Genomic DNA, 25,194 nt, shown 5'->3' on the forward strand with positions numbered 1-25,194 from the left:
TATCCAGTTACCCTGGGCAGACCACTGGCGGCACCCCCCAGCCAGAGGCCGCAGCAACACACACGCCTGCAGGCGACCAGGCCGGACTGCATGCCCCGTGGGGGAACTGAGGGCGTTTCAGTAACAGAGTGTTAGGGGACACGGGTTGGGTGGCTTGGAAAGGGCCTAAGGTGGGGTTTGTTTTAGATTGGGGTGGTGAGGGCGCAGGGGCCCGGTAGGATTCTCTAACAGGGCAGCAGCCACTCATTTAGCAACAGGAGAGGCGTCCAGCGTTTCGTGGGCTGTGCGGTGACCTTGCTTTTGTGCTTAGACACGATTACGGGTGGCCTTGCTTCATCTCCTTCTGCCATGGTCTCGTGGCCCCTGTCTCAGCTGGCGTTCCGGGAGGTTGTTTACGTCCAGGAGGAAAGCAAAAGCCTGGCCCTGAGCATCAGGGTGGCTCTGGACGCCAGGGCTGTACTGTGTTCTTTCTCGACACGAATGAGTTTCTGGACAGTTTTCCCGGCTAGTGCAGACCCACACTGACTGAAAACCGAAATCTTTGCACATGAGAAAAATAACTCCCATGGCAAGGCGTGGCGGCTCACACCTGTAATCTCAGTGCTTTGGGAGGCCAAGGCAGGAAGATCGCTTGAGGCCAGGAGTTCGAGGCCAGCCTGGGCAACATAAGGATACCCTGTCTGTACAAAAATAACAGATTAAAAAAAAAAAACAAAATAACACCCATGGTGCAGCCATTTCTTGGGGGGTTATGGTAATTTTAGTAGCAATCATCTAAGAAGAGGTTTTGTTTCCTCAACCCGAATGCGCTCCCTTTCCTCAAGGCTCTGAGAGCAGCAGGAAGGCTCACCTTCCTTGTTTAGTGAGGTGTTAACCTTCCTGGGTTCACCCCGGTGCAACGGTTTGTGTCATGCATCAACTTGGCTGGGCCACGGCGCCCGGTTTGGTCAAACGCCCATCTGGATGTTGTCGTGGACAGCTGTGTAGATGTGATTCGTATTTAGGTCAGTAGACTTTTAAAGCTGGTGACCTTCCGTCGTGTGGGTGGGTCTTGTCCGGTCAGCCAGAGGCCTTAAGTTCAAAGACTAAGCTTTCCTGAAGAAGAAGGAATTGCACCTCCCTCAAGACTGCAATACAGAAACCCTGCCTGGGTATCCAGCATGCCGCCCTGCAGAACTTGGACTTGAGACCTCAGTCAGCTCTTGCCTGAGTCTCCAGCCTGCCGCCTGCCCTGCAGATTTTGGAAGTGACAACCCCCACAATTGCCCGAGCCAATTTCTTCAAATAAATCTCTTTCCCTCCATCCATCCATTCATCCTTCTGTCCACCTATCCTATCGGCTCTGTTCTGTGGGTTCTGTTCCTCTGGGAACCCTGACAGATGCCCCTGGTTTGGTGGGTGTCATGGTCTCTGGTGCTGGTGCTACACCCTGTTGCTGCCCTGGCCAGAAGCCTGCAGGTGCCTCTGAGCCCACGGAAGCTAAGGGGGCCGTTTCCAAGGGGCCGCATTCCCCGCCTCTCTGCTCTTGGGGCTTCGGTCCATTCGGCCCGCGTGAGAGCTAGGAGTGCCACAGTCGACATCCTCAGTGGGATTGGTACCAGTTGCCTACACCAGCAACCCTCTCATGGAGGAGCCTTCGGTGGCTTTGCTCCTTACCCCACCTCCTGCCCCCTCACTCACTCCTGCTTCCCAGGTCACCTTCCAAAGGCCCCACACCTGCCTTCTCCTCTCCATCCCCCGAGGTGGGGAGCCAACACCCCCCCAGCAGCCCACCTCCCTGCTTTCCCTTGGAAGCACTGCTCTCCAGGTGTCCACAGGCAGCAGGGGTTGGGGGGCTCCTTAGCGCCTTCGCCTTGACCAGGCACGTGGAGTCATGGATCCAGATCCTGGCTCTGAGAGCGCCTGCTTCTGACTGCAGGCCTGGCCGACCCGTGTCATTGCCCCTCGAGGCAGGGCGGAACCTCTGGGTGGGGAAAGGTGGGCCGTGCTGCTCAGGAACCAAAGGCAAACCAGCCTTGTCCTCACGCCCAGAGCTGTGTCCAGCCTCCTCGGCGAGCCTGGGTTGATTCCAGGAGAGACTAAGCACCCACTGTGTCCCACGCCTTCAGCCACGTCGCCCGTCACCTGCGGCCTGAGTGTTCCCTTCCAGAGGGCGTGAAAAACAATTGTCTGCTGAGAGGTCTTTGAAGGGGAAACAAGTGCCCGGGGCAGGCCAGGACCGCAGACTGGATCTTGAGGACTGGCAGCGCAGTGTTTTGTGCAGAAAAGCTAAGGGAGATGTTACGTGCTCAGACCACACGAAGCGGGCAGCATCGTGGCGGGCTTAGCCCGGGCACTGCCTCTCGAAGCTTCCAGGAGCTTCCTGTAACTTTCCGGATGGTGCCGCAGCTGCTTCCCCGGCACCCGGGTCGCCGGGGTTCTGACTGCAGAGGGTTTCTGTGCGGGGTGCGGGGTCCACTCAGGTGAAGCACTCAGGACACCCCTGGTGTGGTGACAGCAGCAGCGTCACTGTCACGGGTGATGCGGCAACAGCTCCTCTCCCTCCTCCAGCACTGGCCTAGGAACTGTTCATTCTTCTGAACACAGCGAATGCCCAGGGCTTGAGCCCCCCTTGCCTGCCTCCAGTCATTTCTGGGTCAGGTGGGCTAAGAACAAACACACAGTGAGTGTCGAGTCTTGCCCGGTGACTGACTGCAGAAGCCTCTGTGTGGCTTCGCTCCCGGATGTCTGAAGGCCCCTCCCTGGGCTGCACGGCGGCTCCTGCGGGGCACTGCGGGAAGAGCCCCAGCTCTCCAGCTAAACCTGTGGGATGCGGCCATGGTGAGAAAAGGAAACGACCATCTTCACGCTGACACTGAGCAAAGAAAAGATAAAACTCATAGCAAATTTACCATGTTAGATTTACAAACGTTAGCAGTGGAATAAATCCAGAGGAAAGAACAAAAGAAAGATTCGAGACCAGCCTGGCCAGCAGGGTGAAACCCCATCTTTACTAAAAATACAAAAAGTAGCCGGGCATGGTGGCGAGCACCTGCAATCCCAGCTACTCAGGAGGCTGAGCCAGGAGAATTGCTTGAACCCGGGAGGTGGAGGTTGCAGTGAGCTGAGATTGTATCACTGCACTCCAGCCTGGGTGACAGAGGGAGACTCCATGTCAAAAAAAAAAAAAGAAGATATGAGTAGAAATGAATGAAATAAAAAACGACATACTGTAGAGAGGATCAACGAAGCCAAAATCTAATAAAATTGATAAACCGCCCCAATTAATCACGAAAAAGGTGGAGACAAATAAACAAGAGGGATGAGAAAAAAAAAAACAAAATGCCCACCACGCTCGTGAGGCCGGAGATCACCGAGGAATCCGAGCACCCGGGGGACGCTGCATGCCCGTGAGTGTGATACCTACACAAAGGAGGATTTTCTAAAAACCAGAAGTCCTATGGCCATTAAAAAATGGAATCAGTAGGAAAAAAAAAAGCCCCAAAGAGAAAGTAACATTCCTAGATGTTAACTGGTGAGTTTCTACCAACAAGTAAGAACAGTTTCAGTTTTATAGAAATTCTCCCAAAGAAAAGAAAATTAGAAAACATGCTTCCCTCACCTCCCGTTTTATTTGTTTATTTTTATTTGAGACAGGGTCTGGTTCTGTTGCCCAGGCTGGAGTGCAGTGGTGCAATCTCTGCTCACTGTAACCTCTGCCTGCTGGGCTCAAGTCATCGTCCCACCTCGGCCTCCTGAGTAGCTGGGATTACAGGTGCGTGCCATCACATCCATCTAATTTTTGTATTTTTTTGTAAAGGCAGGGTTTTGCCATGTTGCCTTGGCTGGTCTCAAGCTTCTGAGCTCAAGCCATCCACCCTCCTCAGCCTCCCAAAGCACTGGGATTACAGGGGTGAGCCGCTGCGCCCAGCCCACCCCCCGTTTTATAAGGTGGTTATAACGTTGGTATCAAAACCGGATAAGCACAATACAAGAGAGAGCTACAGGCCAGCTGCATTCAGAGCACAGGTGGAAAATCCTAAACGTAACAGAGCTGAACCCATCGTCCCATCTAGCGCTCCTGGGAGGCAAGCCTGGGCTGGGGTGCCCCCACCCATCCTGGTGAGAGCCTCGGGCTGAGCTGCCTTGATCCCAAGGGTTCTGCTTCCCCATGGTTCCCCGAAGGGCCCAGAAAGACACGTCAGAAAGTTGGGGACGGGGTGAGGGAGGCCATCATCCTTTGGAGCAGATTTGGCCACCTGGAGATGAGAAGAGCCAGTTCTGCAAAGTACCCTCCCTCCCTTCCTCACCTCCCTTTCACTTCCCTGGGGTGGTACCTCCCAACAAAACATCTGCACCTAGACGCTCCCCAGGCCCCCTCTTCTTGGAAACCTGGGCTAAGACAGTAACTAAGCTGGGTTGGTTCCAATCATGTGAGATTGGTTTAGCATTAGACAACTGATTCATAAAGTTCTTTGTATTAACATATCAAAAGAGGAAAAGACGTATGACCTTTTCAGGAACGCAGAAGCAATTTCAGAAAAAATGATACCTACGTAACAACCAGAGCAGTGAGCAGATTCTTTTTAGGTCATGATGCAAACACATCAACTGTAAAAGAACATATTTGAGACAATCAGGGTTATCTGATGAGGGACTAGGTTTTAGATGACATCGAGAAATTGTTAGGAATCCTGTCAAACGTGAGAGGGAATTTGCGCTTATAGAAAGAAATGTTCGATTTGTAGGAGAGGTACCTGAAGTGCGCGGGGGTGAAATGACGTGGCGTCTGTGCTTTGCTTTAAAATACTCCAGTAAAGAAAAAAACCAAGAGAAGCGGGAAGCAGGGCAAAATCCTCCTAATTGTTGGATCTGGCTGAGGAGTATGTGAAGGGCTCATTGTTCCATGGTCTCTACTTTTGAGACTGTGTAAAAATTTTCATGATAAAAATAAACTCAATGAAGTAGCATTTGCCGCCACCGTAAAAGTAATACCCCGTGATGGGCGCACCAGGTGCTGGCCCGCAGGGGGAGGGCGGGACGTCACTGGCTCTGTCCCCGTCACCCATGACCTGCACGTCCTGGCAGTGGTGAGCGCCCAGTGTGTGCTGTGGGACAGAATTATCTCTAAACCCCCGAAAGAGGATCCTCTCCCCAACTTAACTCCAGCCTCGGAGGGCCTCGGGGGTCTATGGCACACTCTCCCTGCTGGCTTTGTTCTGGAAAGGGCTGGCGGGACATGACCGGCCCCACGTTGCACTCTGAGGGCAGCTCGGGGGTCTGCAGGGGACCATCCTGTGTAACCTGCTGACCTCGAGGAGAAGCAGGGCGAGGGCTTAGCTCAGGCACATTCCCCGCTGAGCCACAACAATGCCCCATCCGCCCTACACAGGCGGATTTGTGTGTGAGCCCCGCGGGGCCCTGGAGTGGAAAATTGCAGCGCCAGCCTTTGTGGGGCAGACTGCTGGCGTTACGGGAATCCTGTAGATGAAGTGAATGTGGCCTTTGTGTGAGGGGCTGGCATTGAGCTCGGGTGCAGTGGGGCGGCAAATCGCTGAGGACAGGCTTAAGCTGGGCCGCGGAAACAATGCCGGGGAGCCACGGAGGAGCCATCGCAGAGGCCGGGAAAAACCTCCCGACAGGGCTCGATCTGTAGAGATATTTGAGAAAAATGATCTCCGAGACAGTGGCTTACACACCCCCACGCATACACACCACGGACACACACCACACACATCACACACACACCATACACTATAGATATACCACACACACACCCCACCACCTATACAACACACACCACACACACACCATACACTATAGATGTACCACACATACACACCCCACACCACCTATACAACACACACCACACACACCACAGACACACACCACAGACACACACCACAGATATACCACACACACACCAGATACACAACATACACATCACACACACCACACAGACACACACCACAGATACTCCACACTGCACACACATCATACACCACACACACACCACACACACATCACACACATCACACACACATCACACACATCGCACACCACACGCACCACAGAAACATCACACACCACACATATACCACACACCCCACATTCCACACACCCCACACATCACATAAACACCACACACACACCACTCACATCACACACCACATATACCACACACATCACATATACAACACACACCACACACACACCCCACACATCACATATACAACACACACAGCACATACCAGACACATCACACACACACACACCACACACGGTACATTGTACACCACACACCACACACACATCACACACACGTCACAGAAACCCCACACACCACACATATACCACACACACACACCACACACGTCACAGACACACCACACACACCACACCCATCACAGAAACCCCACACACCACACGTATACCACACACACACCACACACGTCACAGAAACCCCACACACCACACACACATCACACACCACATATCCAACACACACCCCCCACACACCACACATATCAAATATACACCACACCCCCACACACGCTCCCAGACCAGTTGGAGCCCTGCCCTCGCACCCCAGATCCCGCACATCTGTCCCTCTGTTCCCTTGGCCTCCCACCCCTTCTCCACCCTCAGGAGCCCCATGCAGCCCACACTGGGTCCTGCCCAGCCCCTGGGCCGGAGGGGATGGTCCCCCTGCGCCGTCCCCAGCGCTGCCCACCCTGCAGAACGTCCTCAGGCGGCCGGGCTCCACACCTGCGACAGGCCCGAGGCCCCGGCTGCAGGCCCCACTCGGCTGCAGTTCCCGTCGAGGCAGCCAATGGCCTTGAGGCCTCTCCCAGGTGGGACGGCCCCTGCGAGGGCTGGTGGGCACAGGGGCCAGCCCTGCCCCATGGCCTTGCTCAGCTGTGGGAGGCGTGCCTTTTCTTTCTCTGATCTCTGTGAAACTCTTACTTTTTCTTCCCCGGGGCGGGGGGGTGAGGGTCGGGCCTGTGGTGGCACTGCGCTGAGCCAGGCATGCTGGGCTGGCGTCTCCCTTGCTGGGGCGCAGATGGCCTAGGTGGGGCCCGTGTGGAAGCTGCGTCCATCTGACTCTGCCGCCTGTGCGGTCTCTGCATCTGTGAGGGGGGACCCAGCAGCAGTGGCCCAGGGTGGGGCTGGGACTGAGGGTCAGGCCGGATGGAGCTGTGCGGCGGCACCTGGCCCACATTCTCCCTGCGGCCACCAAGACCCCAGGTGGGCACTGGCACCTTGGGCTATGCCCAGGTCCCCACCCTCAGCCTTCTCTGGAAGCTGCTGGCTCTGCGGTGACCCCCTCCCGCACCCCCTTAACCCAAGGCGGGTCCTTTGGGGCCCACTGGGTGCTCTGGCTGGGTCTGCCCTGGGCTGGTCACTCTCGCCAGGGTCTCGGTCCAGGGCACAGGCAGGAGTGACGGTTACTCTCCAGGAGGCCGGGAGAACCAAGAGACATCCAATGAGGAAGGGCTGCCCATGCTTAAAGATGTCCAGTGAGGAAGGGCCACCCGTGCCCAGGGACATCCAGTGAGGAAGGGCTGCCTGTGCCCAGGGTGATCATGTTTGCACAGACCCCGGTGTGCCTGCGGGGCTGAGCTGTTTGCCTACCCCCATGCCCTCCCCAGGTGGCAGGCTACAAGACCAGCCTTGTTCTTGCCCTTCCCAGCCCTGGCCTGGGAGTCAGACACTTGACTCGTAGCCTTGACTTCCGTGCCAGGCTGCCTGGAGAGGCCAGCCTCTTCCCGGAGGGGTCCTTGGGGCCTACTGGGCAGACCTCTCTCTCCACGGCCCTTCCTGTCCCTAGGCGGACCTTTCCCTGACCCAGCTCACACCAGCCTGGGGCCTGTGTGCTGGGGCCGGGCTCCTGCAGGCTGTCCCGGGCAGGCGCCAGGGGGCCCTGTGCCACTGGGCGGTGGTGTGGGAGGCACAGGAAGAAGCTTACCTCACCCTTCAGACATCCTGGGGGGTACCCTTGTTTCCTATATCATTTCAACCTTGGGGTCCCAGCATTGCTGGCGACGAGGCCGGCTGCAGGTTTTGGCTCAGAGGCAGACTGAGGGCAGCGCCAAAGGGCTCCAGGCCTCCCGAAACAGCCTCGGTCTGCTCACACTTGGAGGGCTGTCAGAGGCCACTGGACGCCAGCAAGAAGGTTGAGGAGCCCCAGGCCGGCGGTGCCCCCAAGGTATCTGACACCAGAGTGAGTCACAGTTTTGAATATTCCATCCTCCATACCGCAAAATTATTTTCAGGATAGTTATGTAATAATCACGGATAATCATGATTTTCTTGATTCATTCTTTAAAGCAATTAACAGAAAAAGAATGCATTTCAATGTTAAAGATATTCAAATTCAGTGACTTCTTTCATGCATGAGCTAACATCTCAGCTTCAGCACCACATCTCCGTTTTCGCTCTGGTTTCACAGTCTCACATTTGAAACACAGAATAAAAACACCAAGAGGTCATGCAGAATGACAGAACTGAAATACTTCCAGCTCGGTTTCTTTGTGAGTGCTGTTGTTGTTATGTGAAATTTCTCGTTTAAGCACAGAAATATGTTGAACCACGGGCTGGAGATGAGAACCCCTCCCCCAGTGCACCTGCACCCGCCCTTCAAAGCCGCTCCAAGCCAATGCAGGTGGCTGCGTCTGCAGTGTCGGGAGTGGCCCCATGACTGGAAGTTCACTGGAAAATTTCCACTCAGTAAATGTTTAGAACAAGAAATAAAACTGTGCTAATGTGAAGATTACAGAAATATAGTCTATCCTCATGACTCATGCATTCCAGATTTGGGAATTCCCTGTGATGTCAGTGTGCCAGGGACCACAGACTGGATGGCTTAAACAACAGACATTTGTTGTCTCACAGTCCTGGAGCCTGGAAGTCCAAGATCGCAGGGTCGGTGGGGCCGGTTCCTTCCTGTGCTTGCAGACGGGCCTCTTCTTGTTGTGCCCTCATGTGGACTTTCCTCTGTGTGCATGTGTTCTTGGTGTCTCTTTTTGGAATTTGTCCAGATTTCCTCCTCTTTTTTTTTTTTTTTTTTTTTTAAGACAGAGTGAGACTCTGTCGCCAGGCAGGAGTGCAGTGGTGCAATCTCGGCTCACTGCAGCCTCCGTTTTCCGGGTTCAAGTGATTCTCCTGCCTCAGCCTCCCGAGTAGCTGGGACTACAGGTGCATGCCACCATGCCTGGCTATTTTTTTGTATTTTAGTAGAGACGGGGTTTCACCATGTTGTCCAGGCTGGTCTTGAACTCCTGACCTCGTGATCCACCCGCCTCGGCCTCCCAAAGTGTTGGGATTACAGGCGTGAGCCACCGCGCCCAGCTGATTTCCTCTTCTTATAAGGATGCCAGTCACATGCATTAGGGCTCACCCAAATGACCTCCTTTTAACTTAATTTCCTGAGAGATCCTATCTCCAAATACAGTCACACTCTGAGGTCCTGGGGTTAGTACTTCAACACAGGAATTTTTTGGGAACTCAGTTCAGTCCATGACACCTACTTGGTCAAATTTATTTGTAGGCTGGGCACGGTGGCTCACGCCTGTAATCCCAGCACCTCTGGAGGCCAAGGTGGGAGGATCGCTTGAGCCTAGGAGTTCAAGACCAGCCTGGGCAACATAGCAAGCAAGACCCCGTCCCTACAAAAAAATTACCAAAAAAATTTATTTGTGACCCCAAATCAATAATTGCAGAGTTTTCCTGGTCATTCACAGATGTGTAGAGAGTGCCGAGACATTTGTCTCCTTACACATATTCCTGGGTGAGGTTGAACAAGGCAGCACTATGCCCTCTTGTTTCAGCCTCAGGCGGTCAACCAGTATCCTTTTTGAGGTCTATTTAGTGCCATGATTTTTGCATTTCGTGTGTTTTGTTTGTGATTTTGCTTTTTAAAACGTCCCCAAGCCCAGTGCTGAAGAGCTGTGTGCTTGGAGGCATTTTTAAGTAAGTGGATTAAGCACTTCAGTTAAAATGCAGAAATTGTCCAAACAGATTAAAAACATTATCTAATTATATGCTGTCTACAAGAGACACTTTAGATTCAAAGACACAAATAGTTTGAAAGTAAAAGATTTCTAAAAATATGCCATACAAATGGAAACCCAAAGACAGTTTTGGTTACTGTTTGGTTACTCTTCAGCTTTGTGCTTGGGGGCATTTTAAACAGCAAAATCACGAACAAAACACACAAAACTGCAAAAGGTAAGCAAGCTGCAGTGCATCTCACAGAGGAAACACGGGTTAGAGAAGCTTCCTTCGGGCAGAGCTACAGGGCTGCTGGCCATGAGTTCAGTGTTTAGTGAATCAATGTTTATAGATTCAGTAAAGCATCTTTTTTTTTTTTTTCTTTTTTGGAACAGAGTCTCATTCTGTTGCCCAGTCTGAAGTGCAGTGGCACGATCTCAGCTCACTGCAACCTCCACCTCCTGGGTTCAAGCGATTCTCCTGCCTCAGCCTCCCAAGTAGCTGGGATTACAGGCCTGCACCATCACGCCTGGCTAATTTTAGTATTTTTAATAGAAATGGGGTTTCACCATTTTGGCTAGGCTGATCTTGAACTCCTGGCCTCAGGTGATACACCCGCCTTGGCCTCCCAAAGTGCTGGGATTACAGGCGTGAGCCACCACGCCTGGCCTCAGTAAAGCATCTGTACACAGAAACACTCATAAGACAAATGATGCATTGCTCAGCTGATGAGAACATTGGGGCCAGAGGCTCGCAGGACCCTAAGCCTGTGTCTCCCCTGGGAGCCATGGTTCAGCAGTCCAGGCATCACTAATTCAGTGCTCACAGCAGCTTTATAGAACACCCCTACCTCTAGAAACAACTGCTATGAATGCAGCAATTGCTAGAACTTAGCCCAGCAAAAGGGGATTTTGTGCTGACATGATTTGCATGGACAGTGGCTGGGAATCAGGAAAAGAACACTGACTTGTCTTTGGTTTCATTCTGGTTTTTCATTTTCCGCAGACATCATATCCCTCAGTGCACTGGCTGTCACCTCCCCCTGCCCGCCACCTGCACACTGTGGCTTTGAGGCAGCATCTTCAACACAAATTTCAGGAGGAGCCCAGGTCCAGAGCAAAAGGGTCTTGTTTCCCCAGAATCCAGGCGAATGGCGCAGGGCTCTGGCAGGCGGATGCACTGACATCAGCGTGCATTTACTTGTTTGTTGCTTGTCTCTACCCAAGAGAATATCAGCTCCAGAAAAGCAGGGACTTTGTTTAACACAGCGTTAAGAGACAGGACTCGACCAGTGTGGATCAATTAAGTGAGGATGTTTGCACAGCAGGCTCCGGGCCAGCGAGTGGGGGTTAAGGCTCCTGAAAGTAGCCGGCTTTGAGATGTGGTGGGGGTGAGCCTGAATTATCCAGGTGGGCTGAGAGCGTAATTGCCAGGTGGATGTGATGGGAGAGACCTCACCGCCCACCACTGCCTTTGAAGGTGGAGGAGGGGCCACGAGCCAAGAAAGGCAGGTGCCTTGAGATGCCAGAGAAGGCAAGAAACAGACTCCCCTGAGCCTCCAGCAGGAGCCAGCCCTGCCAGTGTCTTGCTTTAAGTTGAATGAGACACATTTCAGACTTGTGGCCTCCAGAACTGTGAGAGAAGACGTTTGTGTTGTTTTAAGCCACTAAGTCTGTGATTGGTACATCAGCCACAAGACACTAATACAACACCTAAACTCGGGGTTTGAAAAGGCCCCTAGGGCCCTAGAGCCCTCCCTGCCCCCGGTCCAGGCCTTCCTGCTTCTGTTGTGCAGACTCAGGCGCTGGCTCACTCAGAAGCCCCCTGCAGGCCCGGCCAATCCTGTGGCAGAGCCTCGACGTCCCACGGCGGCCTCTGAGCCGCCAGGCCCTACAGCGTGTGGTGAGGGGCGCAAGAGGTGTGAGTGCCTGGACCTTGCTCTGCCCCATGTCTGAGGACCTTGCCCTGCCCCGTGTCTGAGGACCTTGCCCCATCCTCGGCACCCAGAGCTGTGCAGTCCATAGGACCAGGCTGGTGCCCAGCCCCAGGTTGGTGCCTCAGCTGCCTCCTCAGCCTGCAGTCTCCACTGTTTGACTGACCATGTGCAGGGCCAGCTGTGAAGGACAGCACAGCTCCTCCCTCCCTGCCAAGTGTCAGGGGCACTAAAAACACTGCCATCAATGTTCTGATGTTTAAATCATGTTTTGATGCAATGTTTAAACAAATCAAAATGGGTCGGGCGCAGTGGCTCACGCCTGTAATCCCATCACTCTGGGAGGCCGAAGCGAGTGGATCACCAGAGATCAGGAGTTCGAGACCAGCCTGGCCAACACGGCGAAACCTCATCTCTACTAAAAATATAAAAATTAGCTGGGTGTAGTGGTGTGTGCCTGTAATCTCAGCTACTTGGGAGGCTGAGGCAGGAGAATCGTTTGAACCCGGGAGGCAGAAGTTGCAGTGAGCTGAGATTGTGCCACTGCACTCCAGCCTGGGCGACAGAGCGAGACTCCATCTCAAAAATAAATAAATAAAATAAATAAGTAAATCAAAATGAATGCAAAAAATTTGTGGTGGACAAACTGTCAACATTTTACATAAAGCCAGGATGAGGACGACGGCCTTCTCCTTTTGCTTCAAGCTCCAGCATGGCTCTGCCCAGCACTGACCGTGCTCCTGGCCTGGCTCGACCCTCCCCAGGGCCAAGCTCCATGCTGGTTTCCATCCCAAAGGACTCTTCTTCCCCCTCCCTGTGCCCCGGGAATAGGCAGCCAGCACAGTGGGGCCGCCCGCTGCCTCACCCAGACCCTGCCACTGCTTGGATGTTGACCCCCAGACTGGAAAGGTGGCTTTAAACCCCCTTCCCTTCTTCCAAGCCAAGTGACCTGGGTGTGCGGCTTAACCTTCTAAGCTCCCATTTCCTGGTCTATGAAGCGGGAATGATGCTGGGACCTGCTTCACAGGGTGGCTCTGAGGACCCACAGGCAGAGAGGTCTGGTGTAGGCTTTCGGGGGAAGCACCCATCACTCTCCCAGCGTTTCCTATCTGCACCTTAATTTGGCACCCCAGGGAATCGCTCCTCTGGAATTGTAACCTTGCAGGGCAAAAGCTATCATTTCAAGATTTTTTGGGATCCTGTGTCCCCGGACAGTGCTGTAAATGTAGGAGGAAGGGTGCTGCTCATGGGTGCTGCTCATGATGGAGGTGCCCCGTGGAGCACGCCTCGGAGCCCCCCCTTTCATCCCTGATCCCATCTGGGATGTGTCAGGTCTGATCCGCATACACTGGGGCATCTGACATTTCATGGCCTTCTGAGCCCATGGGCTGGAGATGAATTTGCAAAGCCCGGGAGTGTCCTGGGTGTGTGTTCACTCCACACGCACGAATCTGTTAGAGGCTGAGTAGGAACTAGGAGGCCAAAGAGAACCAGGCAACTTCCCACAGCCTGGACCGTACACTAGAAAAGCTAGCCTGGGAGAGGGGGCATGGCCTCTTCCCAGGCTGGCAGGGGGGATGTGGGGGAGGACCATGCTCCCCAGGGCCAGTTTACCAAAATATCAAAATACCAAAATATCAAAAGACTTAAAACTAGGAGTGAGCCAGGTGCAGTGGCTCACGCCTGTAATCCTACACTTTGAGAGGCCAAGGCAGGTGGGTCACCTGAGGTCAAGAGTTTGAGACCAGCCTGGCCAACACGGTGAAACCCTGTCTCTACTAAAAATACAAAAATAATAATAATAATAATAATAATAATAATTAGCCAGGTGTGGTGGCAGGCACCTGCAGTCTCAGCTACTCAGGAGGCTGAGGTGGGAGAATTGTTTGAACCTGGGAGGCAGAGGTTGCAGTGAGCTGAGATCGCGCCACTATATGATCTGGGCGCCACTCTGGGTGACACAGCAAGACTCCATCTCAAAAACAAACAAACAAAACCGGGAGTGCCTGGACACTTAGTGAGAACTGGACAGGGGCCATGGGTCGAGGAGCAAAATAATCACCAGGACTTGTGGATAACAGGATCATGTGGGTGGTGGGTCCGCATGGGTGACAGGGACGTGGGGACATGTCGCCACCCTGACAGGAGCAGCCCAACTCAACAGCCACGGCAGGTCATGCCACGGAGGCTCGAGGCGTTACGTGGGGATGTTACATCAAGGCATTACATCATTACGAGATGTAACGCTCGAGGCGTTACATCGAGGGGATGATGGCCATGGGGCTGGGCGTCCAGGGTGGGCCGCAGAGGGAAGCTCACCACGTGGTGCTCTCATCTGCCCACAGCCCAGCCCGTCTTCCTGTTGGAGGCATGTGACCCCTGGAGGACAAGCATGAAACGCCATAGGGCTCCCCCAGGTGCTGGAATTATGGCACCTTGCAGCTTCTTCTCCACGAGTTTTAACAAGCATGCGTACTTTTGTAAGTGGTGAGTGTAACGGAGGTTCACAGATGCACTCCGCTTTGGAAACCAGTGCACTCTTGCCCAGGCCCGGTGAGACTCTGACGACGATGTGTCTAACCTCTGTGTCTAACGGGGGTGTGGGCTCTCCCTCCTCTGGCGACCATGAGGACCACCCCGGCAGGACAAGGTGTGCAGAGAACTAGCATGGTCCCTGGCACGTAGCCCCTGCCCAGTGACTGGCAGATGAGAAGCTCCATTGTCGCCCCAGGCGAGTATGGGGCACAGGCGCCTCCTTGGGTTGTCTGCCCTCCCGGGAGCCCCAGGGTGCCCAGGCGGGCCTCAGCTGAGTCCAGGCCTCGGGGACAGTCCGTGCAGCCCCTCCTGGGGCTGGGGGCGGGCACTTGTCCCAGCCACGTTTCTGCTGACTGAGCAGCCTTCTTCATGAGCTCACGCCTTTCCAGAGAAATCCCTTAATGCCTCCATTCTGCTGGTGGCATATATAGGGAGGGCTCGGCCTTGGCTCCACACTGCGCTGCCCAGAGGCCCCGCTGACTCCTGCCAGCCTCCAGGTCCCCGTGGTACCAAAGCTGAACATGGATGTGACCATCCAGCACCCCTGGTTCAAGCGCACCCTGGGGCCCTTCTACCCCAGCCGGCTGTTCGACCAGTTTTTCGGCGAGGGCCTTTTTGAGTATGACCTGCTGCCCTTCCTGTCGTCCACCATCAGCCCCTACTACCGCCAGTCCCTCTTCCGCACCGTGCTGGACTCCGGCATCTCTGAGGTAAGACGTGGCCCGTGGTGCTGGCCTCTCCTCGCTGCTCAGAGGGTGGTGGCCTCGGTGGGTGGAGAGCGATGGACTCTGGTCTTGCTCCGTCAGGCAGGTGGCCTCGTCCCACTTCATCCCCTTGCAGAGGCTGGGCGAGAGCCTGTGTCCCCACTGCAGCCACGTGGTAGAGCTTCCCCTGGCACTGGGGAGAGGGTGGACAAGGGAGCAGCCTGAATCCACCTTTGCTTTCCTCCATCAGCTCATGACCCATGTGTGCTTTGTAAGGCACCAGCCACATACTGGAAACCCCAAGAGCAGCCCATCCAGGCATGCGTGGTGGCGAATGCCAGCTCCCGGGTTCCTCTGGTCTCCTGAGTCCCGGAGACCTGGGAGCAGGTGGGGGTCATAGTCCTGAAAGCCAGAGAGCAGGGCGTTCCTAGCACCTCCTCCAATGAGCTCGGCCTGCCCACGGCTAGCAAAGCTCTTGGCAAGTTTACTTAGGTGCCCTGCCAAGGCTAAAAGGACAGGCAATGGACGCCCCCCCCCCCCACCCAACCACAGGCCTCCTCTCTGAGCCACGGGTGAGCGGTGCAGGTTCTGCTGTTCTGGAGGGCCTGAGTCCCACCCAGCACCTCATAAACAGGGTCCTCCCCAGGGCTGCTGCAGTAGGCATCAATGCCAGGGTGCAAAATGCCTCAGGGAGCCAAGGCTGAGCCAGGGGAGTGAGAAGGAGCATGTGGAAGTGCGTTTTGGAGAGGCAGCTGCGCAGGCTGTCAGCAGGCTCCGGCCGCTTCTATAGACAGCATGACACCAAGGGCAGTGACCTCATTCCACAGGCTGAGTCCAGCCAGCCAGCCAAGCATCACCAGCCAGACGATTGACCCTAACGGACCAACCAACCCGTAACGACCCCTCCTACCATAACCAGTAGCCAGCCAGCCCATAACCAGCCAACTTATCTATAACCAGCCACCTGACCATAGCCAAACAACCAGCCGGCCCACCAGTAGCATTCAGCCCCTCAGCTGGCCCTGAGGGTTTGGAGACAGGTCGAGGGTCATGCCTGTCTGTCCAGGAGACAGTCACAGGCCCCCGAAAGCTCTGCCCCACTTGGTGTGTGGGAGAAGAGGCCGGCAGGTGACCGAAGCATCTCTGTTCTGATAACCGGGACCCGCCCTGTCTCTGCCAACCCCAGCAGGGACGGCACCCTCTGGGCAGCTCCACATGGCACGTTTGGATTTCAGGTTCGATCCGACCGGGACAAGTTCGTCATCTTCCTCGATGTGAAGCACTTCTCCCCGGAGGACCTCACCGTGAAGGTGCAGGACGACTTTGTGGAGATCCACGGAAAGCACAACGAGCGCCAGGTGAGCCCAGGCACTGAGAGGTGGGAGAGGGGGGCGAGTTGGGCGCGAGGACAAGGGGGTCACGGCGGGCACGACCGGGCCTGCACACCTGCACCATGCCTTCAACCCTGGGAGAGGGACGCTCTCCAGGGGACCCCGAATCAGGCCTGGCTTTTCCCCAAGGGAGGGGCCGTGCCCACCTGAGCACAGCCAGCCCCTCCCGGTGACAGAGGTCACCATTCCCGAGCTAATGTGGCTCAGGGATCCAGGTTAGGGTCCCTTCCCGGGCTGCACCCAGCCGTCGCCAGCTCCATCCCTGTCACCTGGATGCCAGGGTGGTCTTAGAAAGAACCCCAGGAAGTGGGAGTGCCCCGGGTGGCCGCCTCCTAGCCAGTGTACATCTTCACATGAACCCTACCTGAGGAAGCCAGTCCCCGACGGCATAGCTGCATCCGCTTGGAATGCTTTACAGGCATTGACACCTTCGCCTCACAGCAGCACTTTGGAACCAGTGTCCTCATTATTCCAGGGCACGGCTGGGGAACAAGGGGGTCCTCAGCCTGCTGGGTCCCACAGCTAGTACCGGGCAGGTGGACGGGAGCTTCTCCCCACAGTCACCCTGATGCCCCGCTCTTGCTCGGCTGGAGGCCTCGGATCTCCGTGGTGTTGAGGGAGCCGGGGCACTGGAGCCCTGGTGACCTGCATCTCCTGGCGGAGCCGGGAAGAGCTCATGGACTGTCACAGATGGACAGTGCCCCGCGGGGGCTGGAGAGCAGAGTGGGGCTGGAAGGTGGAACTCTTAGCCAAAGTCTTGGTTTCTTTTGGCCAGGGTCCTCTTTCAATGGCTGGAGAAGGTGGTGCTGGGGGGTGAACGCTGACCTCCTCATGTGCTGCCCCTCCCTCGCCTGGGCCCGGTAAAGCCCCCACGTAGCCCCAGCCAGCCTGGAACATGCTTCCTGAGCTCCCAGCTCTTGGTCTTTGCACCCAGTGGAGGAGGAGGTCAGCCCAGGGAGCTGAGTCTGCGGTTTAGGGCGTCCAGGGGACGTGGAAGCATGTGGGTCGTCTGGCCACATTAGGTAGGGCTGCAGAGACCTGGGCTAGAGCAGTCCTGCGGGGTCTGGAAGGGGAAGACTGGCTGAGGTGCGGGGCCTGGTCTGGAATGATCCTGCGATTTTGGAGTGAAGCCATGGAGCGGGAAGAGACAACCCCCCGCGGGGAATAGCCCGGCAAGTGGCCACGAGGCCAGGCTGAGGTCCAGAGAAGCAGGGGCATGAATCCATAAATCCCAGGGGGCCTGGCCATGGGATGTGCTGGCTGCACCCGGCCCCTGTGAGAGCCCCCGCAGGCTGGCCCCCTTCTGCAGTCAGTGGGGCTGGGGCAGCTTCTCTGGCATGGGGCGAGGCAGCCGCCTGCACAGTGGCCCCCCTGACTGTGCGCCCCCACCCTCTCCAGGACGACCACGGCTACATTTCCCGTGAGTTCCACCGCCGCTACCGCCTGCCGTCCAACGTGGACCAGTCGGCCCTCTCTTGCTCCCTGTCTGCCGATGGCATGCTGACCTTCTGTGGCCCCAAGATCCAGACTGGCCTGGATGCCACCCACGCCGAGCGAGCCATCCCCGTGTCGCGGGAGGAGAAGCCCACCTCGGCTCCCTCGTCCTAAGCAGGCATTGCCTCGGCTGGCTCCCCTGCAGCCCTGGCCCATCATGGGGGGAGCACCCTGAGGGCGGGGTGTCTGTCTTCCTTTGCTTCCCTTTTTTCCTTTCCACCTTCTCACATGGAATGAGGGTTTGAGAGAGCAGCCAGGAGAGCTTAGGGTCTCAGGGTGTCCCAGACCCCGACACCGGCCAGTGGCGGAAGTGACCGCACCTCACACTCCTTTAGATAGCAGCCTGGCTCCCCTGGGGTGCAGGCGCCTCAACTCTGCTGAGGGTCCAGAAGGAGGGGGTGACCTCCGGCCAGGTGCCTCCTGACACACCTGCAGCCTCCCTCCGCGGCGGGCCCTGCCCACACCTCCTGGGGCGCGTGAGGCCCGTGGGGCCGGGGCTTCTGTGCACCTGGGCTCTCGCGGCCTCTTCTCTCAGACCGTCTTCCTCCAACCCCTCTATGTAGTGCCGCTCTTGGGGACATGGGTCGCCCATGAGAGCGCAGCCCGCGGCAATCAATAAACAGCAGGTGATACAAGCAACCCGCCGTCTGCTGGTGCTGTCTCCATCAGGGGCGCGAGGGGCAGGAGGGCGGCGCCGGGAGGGAGGACAGCGGGGTCTCCTGCTCGCGTTGGACCCGGTGGCCTCGGAACGATGGGGTCGCCTGCGTCCCTTCCTTCTCCTGAGCTCAAGCGCCTCCCTCCACACTGGGCTGGAAGGAGAGGTTTTGGGGGCAGAGCCTCTGATGGGAAAGGGACTGGGGAGCGGTTCCGAGAGCTGGGGGCGGGGAGGGACCTGGAAGGGGCTGCAGGGAATGGAGGGAGGCCGGGCTCCTTTCTCTGTCCGCGCCGGCACCGGGGCGGGACGCCAGCCCTGGCCTCCTTCTGCGGGGCCGTCCGGTTCTCTCGGGGTCTGCTGGGTCGTCCTGTTCTCTCGGGGGTCCTGCTGCCTTCGGGGCTGGGCTTTAAGGGCACTCGTGCTTTTGAGGAGCTGGAACTCGGCAGCTTCCCCTGGGCAACCCATCATGGCCCCGAGCTGGAGGCGGAAGCTCGCTCTGTCCCCTCCCGGGACCAGACACTGGGCGGCCATGCCAGACCCCGCCACGGGGAGGGAGACTCGGCCTGGGGGGCCCTGGCTGCCTGCTGCGCTCACCGAGGGGCATCCGGGGGGCCAGAGGGCACCCAAGGGGAAGCAGACGCCACGGCGGGTGGGCCCTGCCAGCGCCCTCAGCCAAGTAAAGCGCCCTCGACCCCGGAGGCCGAAGGCACCGGGACCCTGAGGCACTGGGACCCCCATGGCACCAGCAGGACGACCACAGGGGCGCAGCCTCCACCCGGGAGAACACAGACACTGACACCACCGGGTTTTCAAAAAGTCAGCAACAGGCATTAGCGTGGGCGGCCATAGTGACGCCCAGTGACATCACGTGCCACGGACACTGAACAGCACACACACCACACACACCACACACTCCACACACACCGCACACTCCACACACTCCACACACACCACACACACCACACACTCCACACACTCCACACACTCCACACTCCACACACTCCACACACACCACACACTCCACACACTCCACACACACCACACACTCCACACTCCACACACTCCACACACACCACACACTCCACACACACCACACACTCCACACCCACCACACACTCCACACACTCCACACACACCACACACTCCACACACTCCACACACACCACACACACCACACACTCCACACACTCCACACACTCCACACACACCACACACTCCACACTCCACACACTCCACACACAACACACACTCCACACACACCACACACTCCACACCCACCACACACACCACACACTCCACACACTCCACACACTCCACACACACCACACACTCCACACACAACGCACACTCCACACACTCCACACACACCACACACACCACACACTCCACACACACCGCACACTCCACACACTCCACACACACCGCACACTCCACACACACCACACACACCACACACACCACACACTCCACACTCCACACACACCACACACTCCACACACACACCACACACCACACACTCCATACACACCACACACTCCACACACTCCACACACTCCACACACACCACACACTCCACACACACCACACACTCCACACTCCACACACCACACACTCCACACACACACCACACACTCCACACACACACCACACGCAGCACAGACACCACACACTCCACACACACCACACACTCCACACACTCCACACACACCGCACACTCCACACACTCCACACACACCGCACACTCCACACACCACACACTCCACACACACACACCACACACTCCACACACAACACACTCCACACACACCACAGACACACACACACCCCTCAACACACCATGCCCTTTGTCTCTCTTTGTATTCCTCTGGCCAGGCCGTGGTGTGACGGGTTCTGAGTCCTGGGAGTGGCTCCCCTAGACTCCCCCCCTCCTCCTCCCTCCAGCAGGACCTGCCCGGCTGTTGTGCCATCGAGTCCCCATTTGTACAGAAGGGGGTGCCCTGTGGTTGGCAACAACATGACCCACTGTGCTTTGGGGCTGCGGCTGGATGTTTTTGAAAATCGGGGTGTCTGGGGCTCCCTGCTCCTCCTGGGTCTGTCCCGGACCAGCTGAGCGGACACCTTTGCTCTGCACAGCCTGGCAGCCATTGCAGGGAGGCGGGCCCACCGCAACATCTGGTAGCTCCGGGTCCCGTCCCACCGGCTGCACAGTGAATGGAGCTGTCACTCACGCCTGCAGCCTTGCTTGACTGCGGGTCCTGCCTGGACCTTGTTAGGGGCTGGAAGGTGACTCCCTGAAAATTATATGGGGTCCTACCCCCAAAGGCTCAGAATGGGACTGTGTTTGGCGGTGGGGGCTTTGATTAAATTGAAGTGATGTCACTGGGGTGGGCCCTGGCCCAGTCTGGCCGGTGTCCTTGTAAGAAGAGGAGATGAGGACACAGACCTACAGAGGGACAACCCCGTGAGGGCACAGGGAGGAGACACTGTCTGCAAGCCAAGGAGAGACGCCCCAGAGGAACCGGCCCTGCTGCCCCTTGACCTTGGACTCCCGGCCTCCAGGACCCGGCAGAAACGATGTCTGCCATTGGAGCCGCAGCTGTGGCGTTGCAGCTGCGGGAACCGACGCATTCAGGCCCAAAGACATAGCCTTTGGCTAGGCCTTGGCAGGGTCTGCAAGGCCCGTGGGTGGTTCACCAGATCCTCGATCAGGCTCCTTGGAGAGTCGCACGGAGCACCAGGGCCAGCCCAGGCAGAACTTCCCCTGGCTGGTGGGCTGTCTGATCTCCTCTGCTCCCCCAGTTGGGTCTTCCAGCAGCACAGGCTCAGCAAGGACTTGGAGGGGGTGGGGGGAGGGGCTCTCATCTCATCTGGCCTCCAAGACATGCAGCGTGACACCTCCCATCTCCCCTCCTGGGGCCTCCTGATGCCATCCTTCCTCGGCTCTCCAATCACACCCCACCCGGGCGGTTCTTAAACTCAGGGGCCTGGGGCTGCTTCACCTCTGGCCTGGGGTAGGCTAGATACGCCTGAGAGATTGTCCATACAGGGCTCAGAGCCTGGCTCCATCCCAGGCTGGCCACAGCCCCTATCTCCTCTCCTCCCACCTTGGGGCCTATTCTGGAACAGCCTGCCTTGCAAGGGCCGCCCAGGTGATTTCAGTGATTTCACTGTCACCATGGCTACTGTGAGGCCAAGGTCACACGGACTCCCCGCAGGCACCAAGCTGACGGTCATCTGACAGCAGCCTCATCACCACCTTGTCCAGATGAGACAGAGGCTCAGCAGGGACTTGTGCAAGGCCCCAGCCAGCCAATGGCAAGGCCTGGAGACCTAGGCTCCCACCCTGAAGTCATCTCAACGGGCCCAGCCTCAGGAGCTGCCTGTGCTGGGGCCTGGGGCTGCTTTGCACCCAAGACCCCTTCAGAGTCACAGGTGAGTGGCCAGATTCCACCCCCACCATGCCCGCCCCGCCAGGGCAGGAGGCCACGTGGATGTGAGCTTTAATGCAGGGCGCAGCTCTGGCCATGGTGCCCAGCCACTTTCCTGGAGTCTGAGCAGCTGCCAAGGCTCTCTGGTGGCTGCTCCTACCCACATGGCTCCCATGGGCTGCTGTTGGAGAGCTTCTGAAGCCGGGAGGATGCCTGCTCCCCTTGCCTCCTTTCCAAGCTCGCCTCTGCCCACCCACTGCTAGGCCTGGGACTCACACCAGCCTTCTCCGTGGGTGCTGCTGCCAGCTTTCTGCCCTCTGGGCCTCCCTCTCCCTCGCCTGGCCTTCAGAGGGCCGAGGCTCTGATCACCTCTCCCCCGCTTCCCATTGTGTGGCCTGGCGTCTGAGGCCCCTGTGGTCTGACTGCCCCACTGCTCCCTGGTATGCATTCAGGTTGAATTCAGAGAGCTCTGCGTGCCAGTGTCCAGCCCCATTCACCAGGGCACACGGCCATCGTGGAAAGATGGGATTGGCCAGTACTTCCCAAGCCTGCCAGGCCGGGAGAACCACCTGCAGTGCATTGCAAATACAGACTCCTGGGCCCCGCTCACACCCACTTAGAGTCTGGAGGGGCAGAGTCCAGGGAGCTGGGCTTTTGGTGCCTCCAGGTGAGCCCTATGATCAGGTGCAAGTGGGAGATGCTGCGGGACAGCGGCGCCTCCTCAGGTTGGGGCAGCGGGGGAGAGAAGTCTCACTGGAAGCTGCCTCTCCAGTCTTGGGGCTCAGCTTCTCGATCTCCAGGGAGGCTCTCCCTCATCCCACTGCTGGGGACGCTGGACTCTGGAGTGAAAATGACCCACGCTCTCCTCTGCTCCCGTTTTCACCTTGGGCATCATTGTCATCATCATTATGAGCAGCAGCCGGAAAAGCATTAATGGAGCACCTGCTGTATGCCAGGCCTTGCGCCTGCTGCGCTTGTAACGGCAATTCTCATGCAGCCTGCACAGCAGCCTGTAGCCTGTTTCTATTGTTAGCTGAGGACACCCAGGCTTAGAAATGGAGTCACCTGCCTGGTGTCCCCAGCTGGTGAGGGCTTGGGCCAGGTGCACCCTGTCTGTTTGACCCCAAAGCCAGGGCTCAGCACCGCTGGGCAGATGATTACTGCAATGTCACACATAATGTGAAAATTGGGAGGCGCTGAGGAAGCCTGAGGCACTGGTCCCTTTCTTCTGGTGACATGCTGGGTGACTTTGGACAGATCTATCAACCCCTCTGAGTATTCGATGTCCGTCTTTGCCAGTCGGCTGAAGCTGGGAGACCGAGTGCCTGCGGGGAGCCTCCAGCCCCCAGTTCCTTTCAATCATCACCAGCGTGCCTCACACTTACCACCAGGTGGCAGCAGAGGACTTGCCTGGCCGCCGAGACCTTGGCCGCAGGAGACTTGCCGAACCTCAGCCTTAAAGGTCACCTTCACTCTTCAAGACAGTGGGAAGCGGCCGCAGCAAACATCCGCAGAGGGCCTGGCTCCGGGAGCCTCTGGACTGCGTGCTGCCAAGCTGTGGGAGACCCACCCTGACCCCCGGGGAGCTAGTGTCCAGCAGGGGAGACTGAGATGGGAAGACACAAAAGCCGTGCTGGAAGCCAGCGGTGTTTCTTTACCATGAGCAGTTTTGGGGTTTCATTTGCTTGTGTGTAAAATCACTTGAAAAAGGAGGCGTCACTGTCTGGAAGGCCAGGGCTGTGCTGGGGTCCCTGGGGGCTCTGGCGGGGTTTCCTCCGCGCAGAATGACGTCACTCCCCGGCTTCCGGCCCAGGTCAGCTCTTCCTAGGAAGCCTCTTGTGAAGAGCAGCCCCCGTCCCGCCCACATCCGCAGAGGCCTGTGAGTGGGGCAGGGCGGTAAGTGTCCCTGGCAGGCAGCCTCAGCTGACGCGGTGTTGGGGTCACAGGGTCAGAGGTCCTGCCAGCCAAGGCTGCATGTGGCTGTCTGAGAAGGGGCTGAGACAGAGATGCAGGCACAGGTGCCAGACAGTGCCAGCTTGGAAGGAGGAGGCATCAGGAGAGCCGAGGGGTTGAGGGACAAGGAGCTGCTTGCTGGGGGCAGGGCGGCCTTCTCTCTACAGGGCAGGCACCTGCCTCCCGCTCTGCCCTTGGCCTCCAGGATGGGAGCTGGGAAAGGAGTCTCCCTTCAGGGGAGGGACCCTTGGCAGGGGCTAGTGAAGGCTCCGTCAGCGTTAGCTCCCAGGCTGCTGGGGAGGCCAGAAGGCCCTGCTCTGTGGGATTTCCTCTGAGACCCTGGGCTAAGGACTGAGTTTGCAGGGGCAGGAAATGTGGGCGGGCTCCAAACCTGCTGTGCAGGCTGCTGCCATTAGAACAGAACAGAAGGAAAGATACACATGCATCCATGCACACACACACACAGTGTGCCCATATGCACAGAACACACATGCACATAGAAGCACAATGTTTGCACAGTGTGCACCCATGCACAACACACCATGCACACTCGTGCACAACACACAAAACACATGCTCACACACCTCACACATGTGCGCACAAATGCACAACACAAACACACATGCAACATACAAACACATGTACACACATCACACAATACATGTGGACACACACGGACACACAGAAGCACATAACACCTACGCGTGCACAAATGCCCACATGCACACCTACACAAACATACACTCACACAGCCCACAGGAAGACGCACACACCACTATCATGGCCATGGCCAAGCTCTGGGCTGTTACTTCATTGCGCGGCTGCCCTCTGTGTCTGATTTGTACTTGACCGTGAGAGACCCCTTTCCACCCTCCAGCTTAGGGGAGCCCCCTCCTGTGTGCTGCTCAGCAGCCTCTTTGACATCTAGCTGCCTGGGCCCTGGCATTCCTCGTGCCACCTGCAGAGACGTCAGAGACGGCACGAGGGAGGAGCGGGTATGAGGGAGGGGCCGTGTGGCAGCTCAAGGACGCCCCAGGGGCACCGGGAAGGAGGGGCAGTGAAGAGAGGGGGTGGCTCATTATTCTGCAGAGCTGTCTGCCCCGGGAGCCTGTGAGCGCTGTGCCTTTAC

At 57.1% G+C, this 25,194-nt stretch overlaps 1 protein-coding gene and 1 long non-coding RNA gene across 4 annotated transcripts in view, besides 1 other annotated feature; one reads left to right on the forward strand and one right to left on the reverse strand.

The window, feature by feature from the left end:
• LOC102724652 (crystallin alpha A2) overlaps positions 1 to 18,668 on the forward strand; it is a 65,287-nt gene extending 46,619 nt beyond the window's left edge. The window contains exons 3-5 of one of the 2 annotated variants that reach the window (NM_001314050.5): positions 14,251 to 15,150; positions 16,380 to 16,502; positions 17,934 to 18,668. In NM_001314050.5, coding sequence (NP_001300979.1) covers positions 14,962 to 15,150; positions 16,380 to 16,502; positions 17,934 to 18,143 — 522 coding nt within the window. In that variant the 5' untranslated portion in view covers positions 14,251 to 14,961 and the 3' untranslated portion in view covers positions 18,144 to 18,668. Of the gene's footprint in view, positions 1 to 14,250; positions 15,151 to 16,098; positions 16,273 to 16,379; positions 16,503 to 17,933 lie in introns of those variants that run through there. The other variant, NM_001320719.1, reaches the window with a different exon arrangement.
• The window catches only part of LOC102724701 (uncharacterized), a 441,766-nt gene that overhangs the window by 316,856 nt on the left and 99,716 nt on the right, over positions 1 to 25,194 (reverse strand). The window lies entirely within an intron of this gene.
• Positions 1 to 25,194: part of a sequence alteration artifact (region identified as an assembly artifact by the Genome Reference Consortium. This region falsely duplicates sequence located at GRCh38 chr21:43035651-43187643) that runs on past both edges of the window.

This window comes from Homo sapiens, chromosome 21 (assembly GCF_000001405.40).
Source record: "Homo sapiens chromosome 21, GRCh38.p14 Primary Assembly".
Classification (NCBI taxonomy): domain Eukaryota; kingdom Metazoa; phylum Chordata; class Mammalia; order Primates; family Hominidae; genus Homo; species Homo sapiens.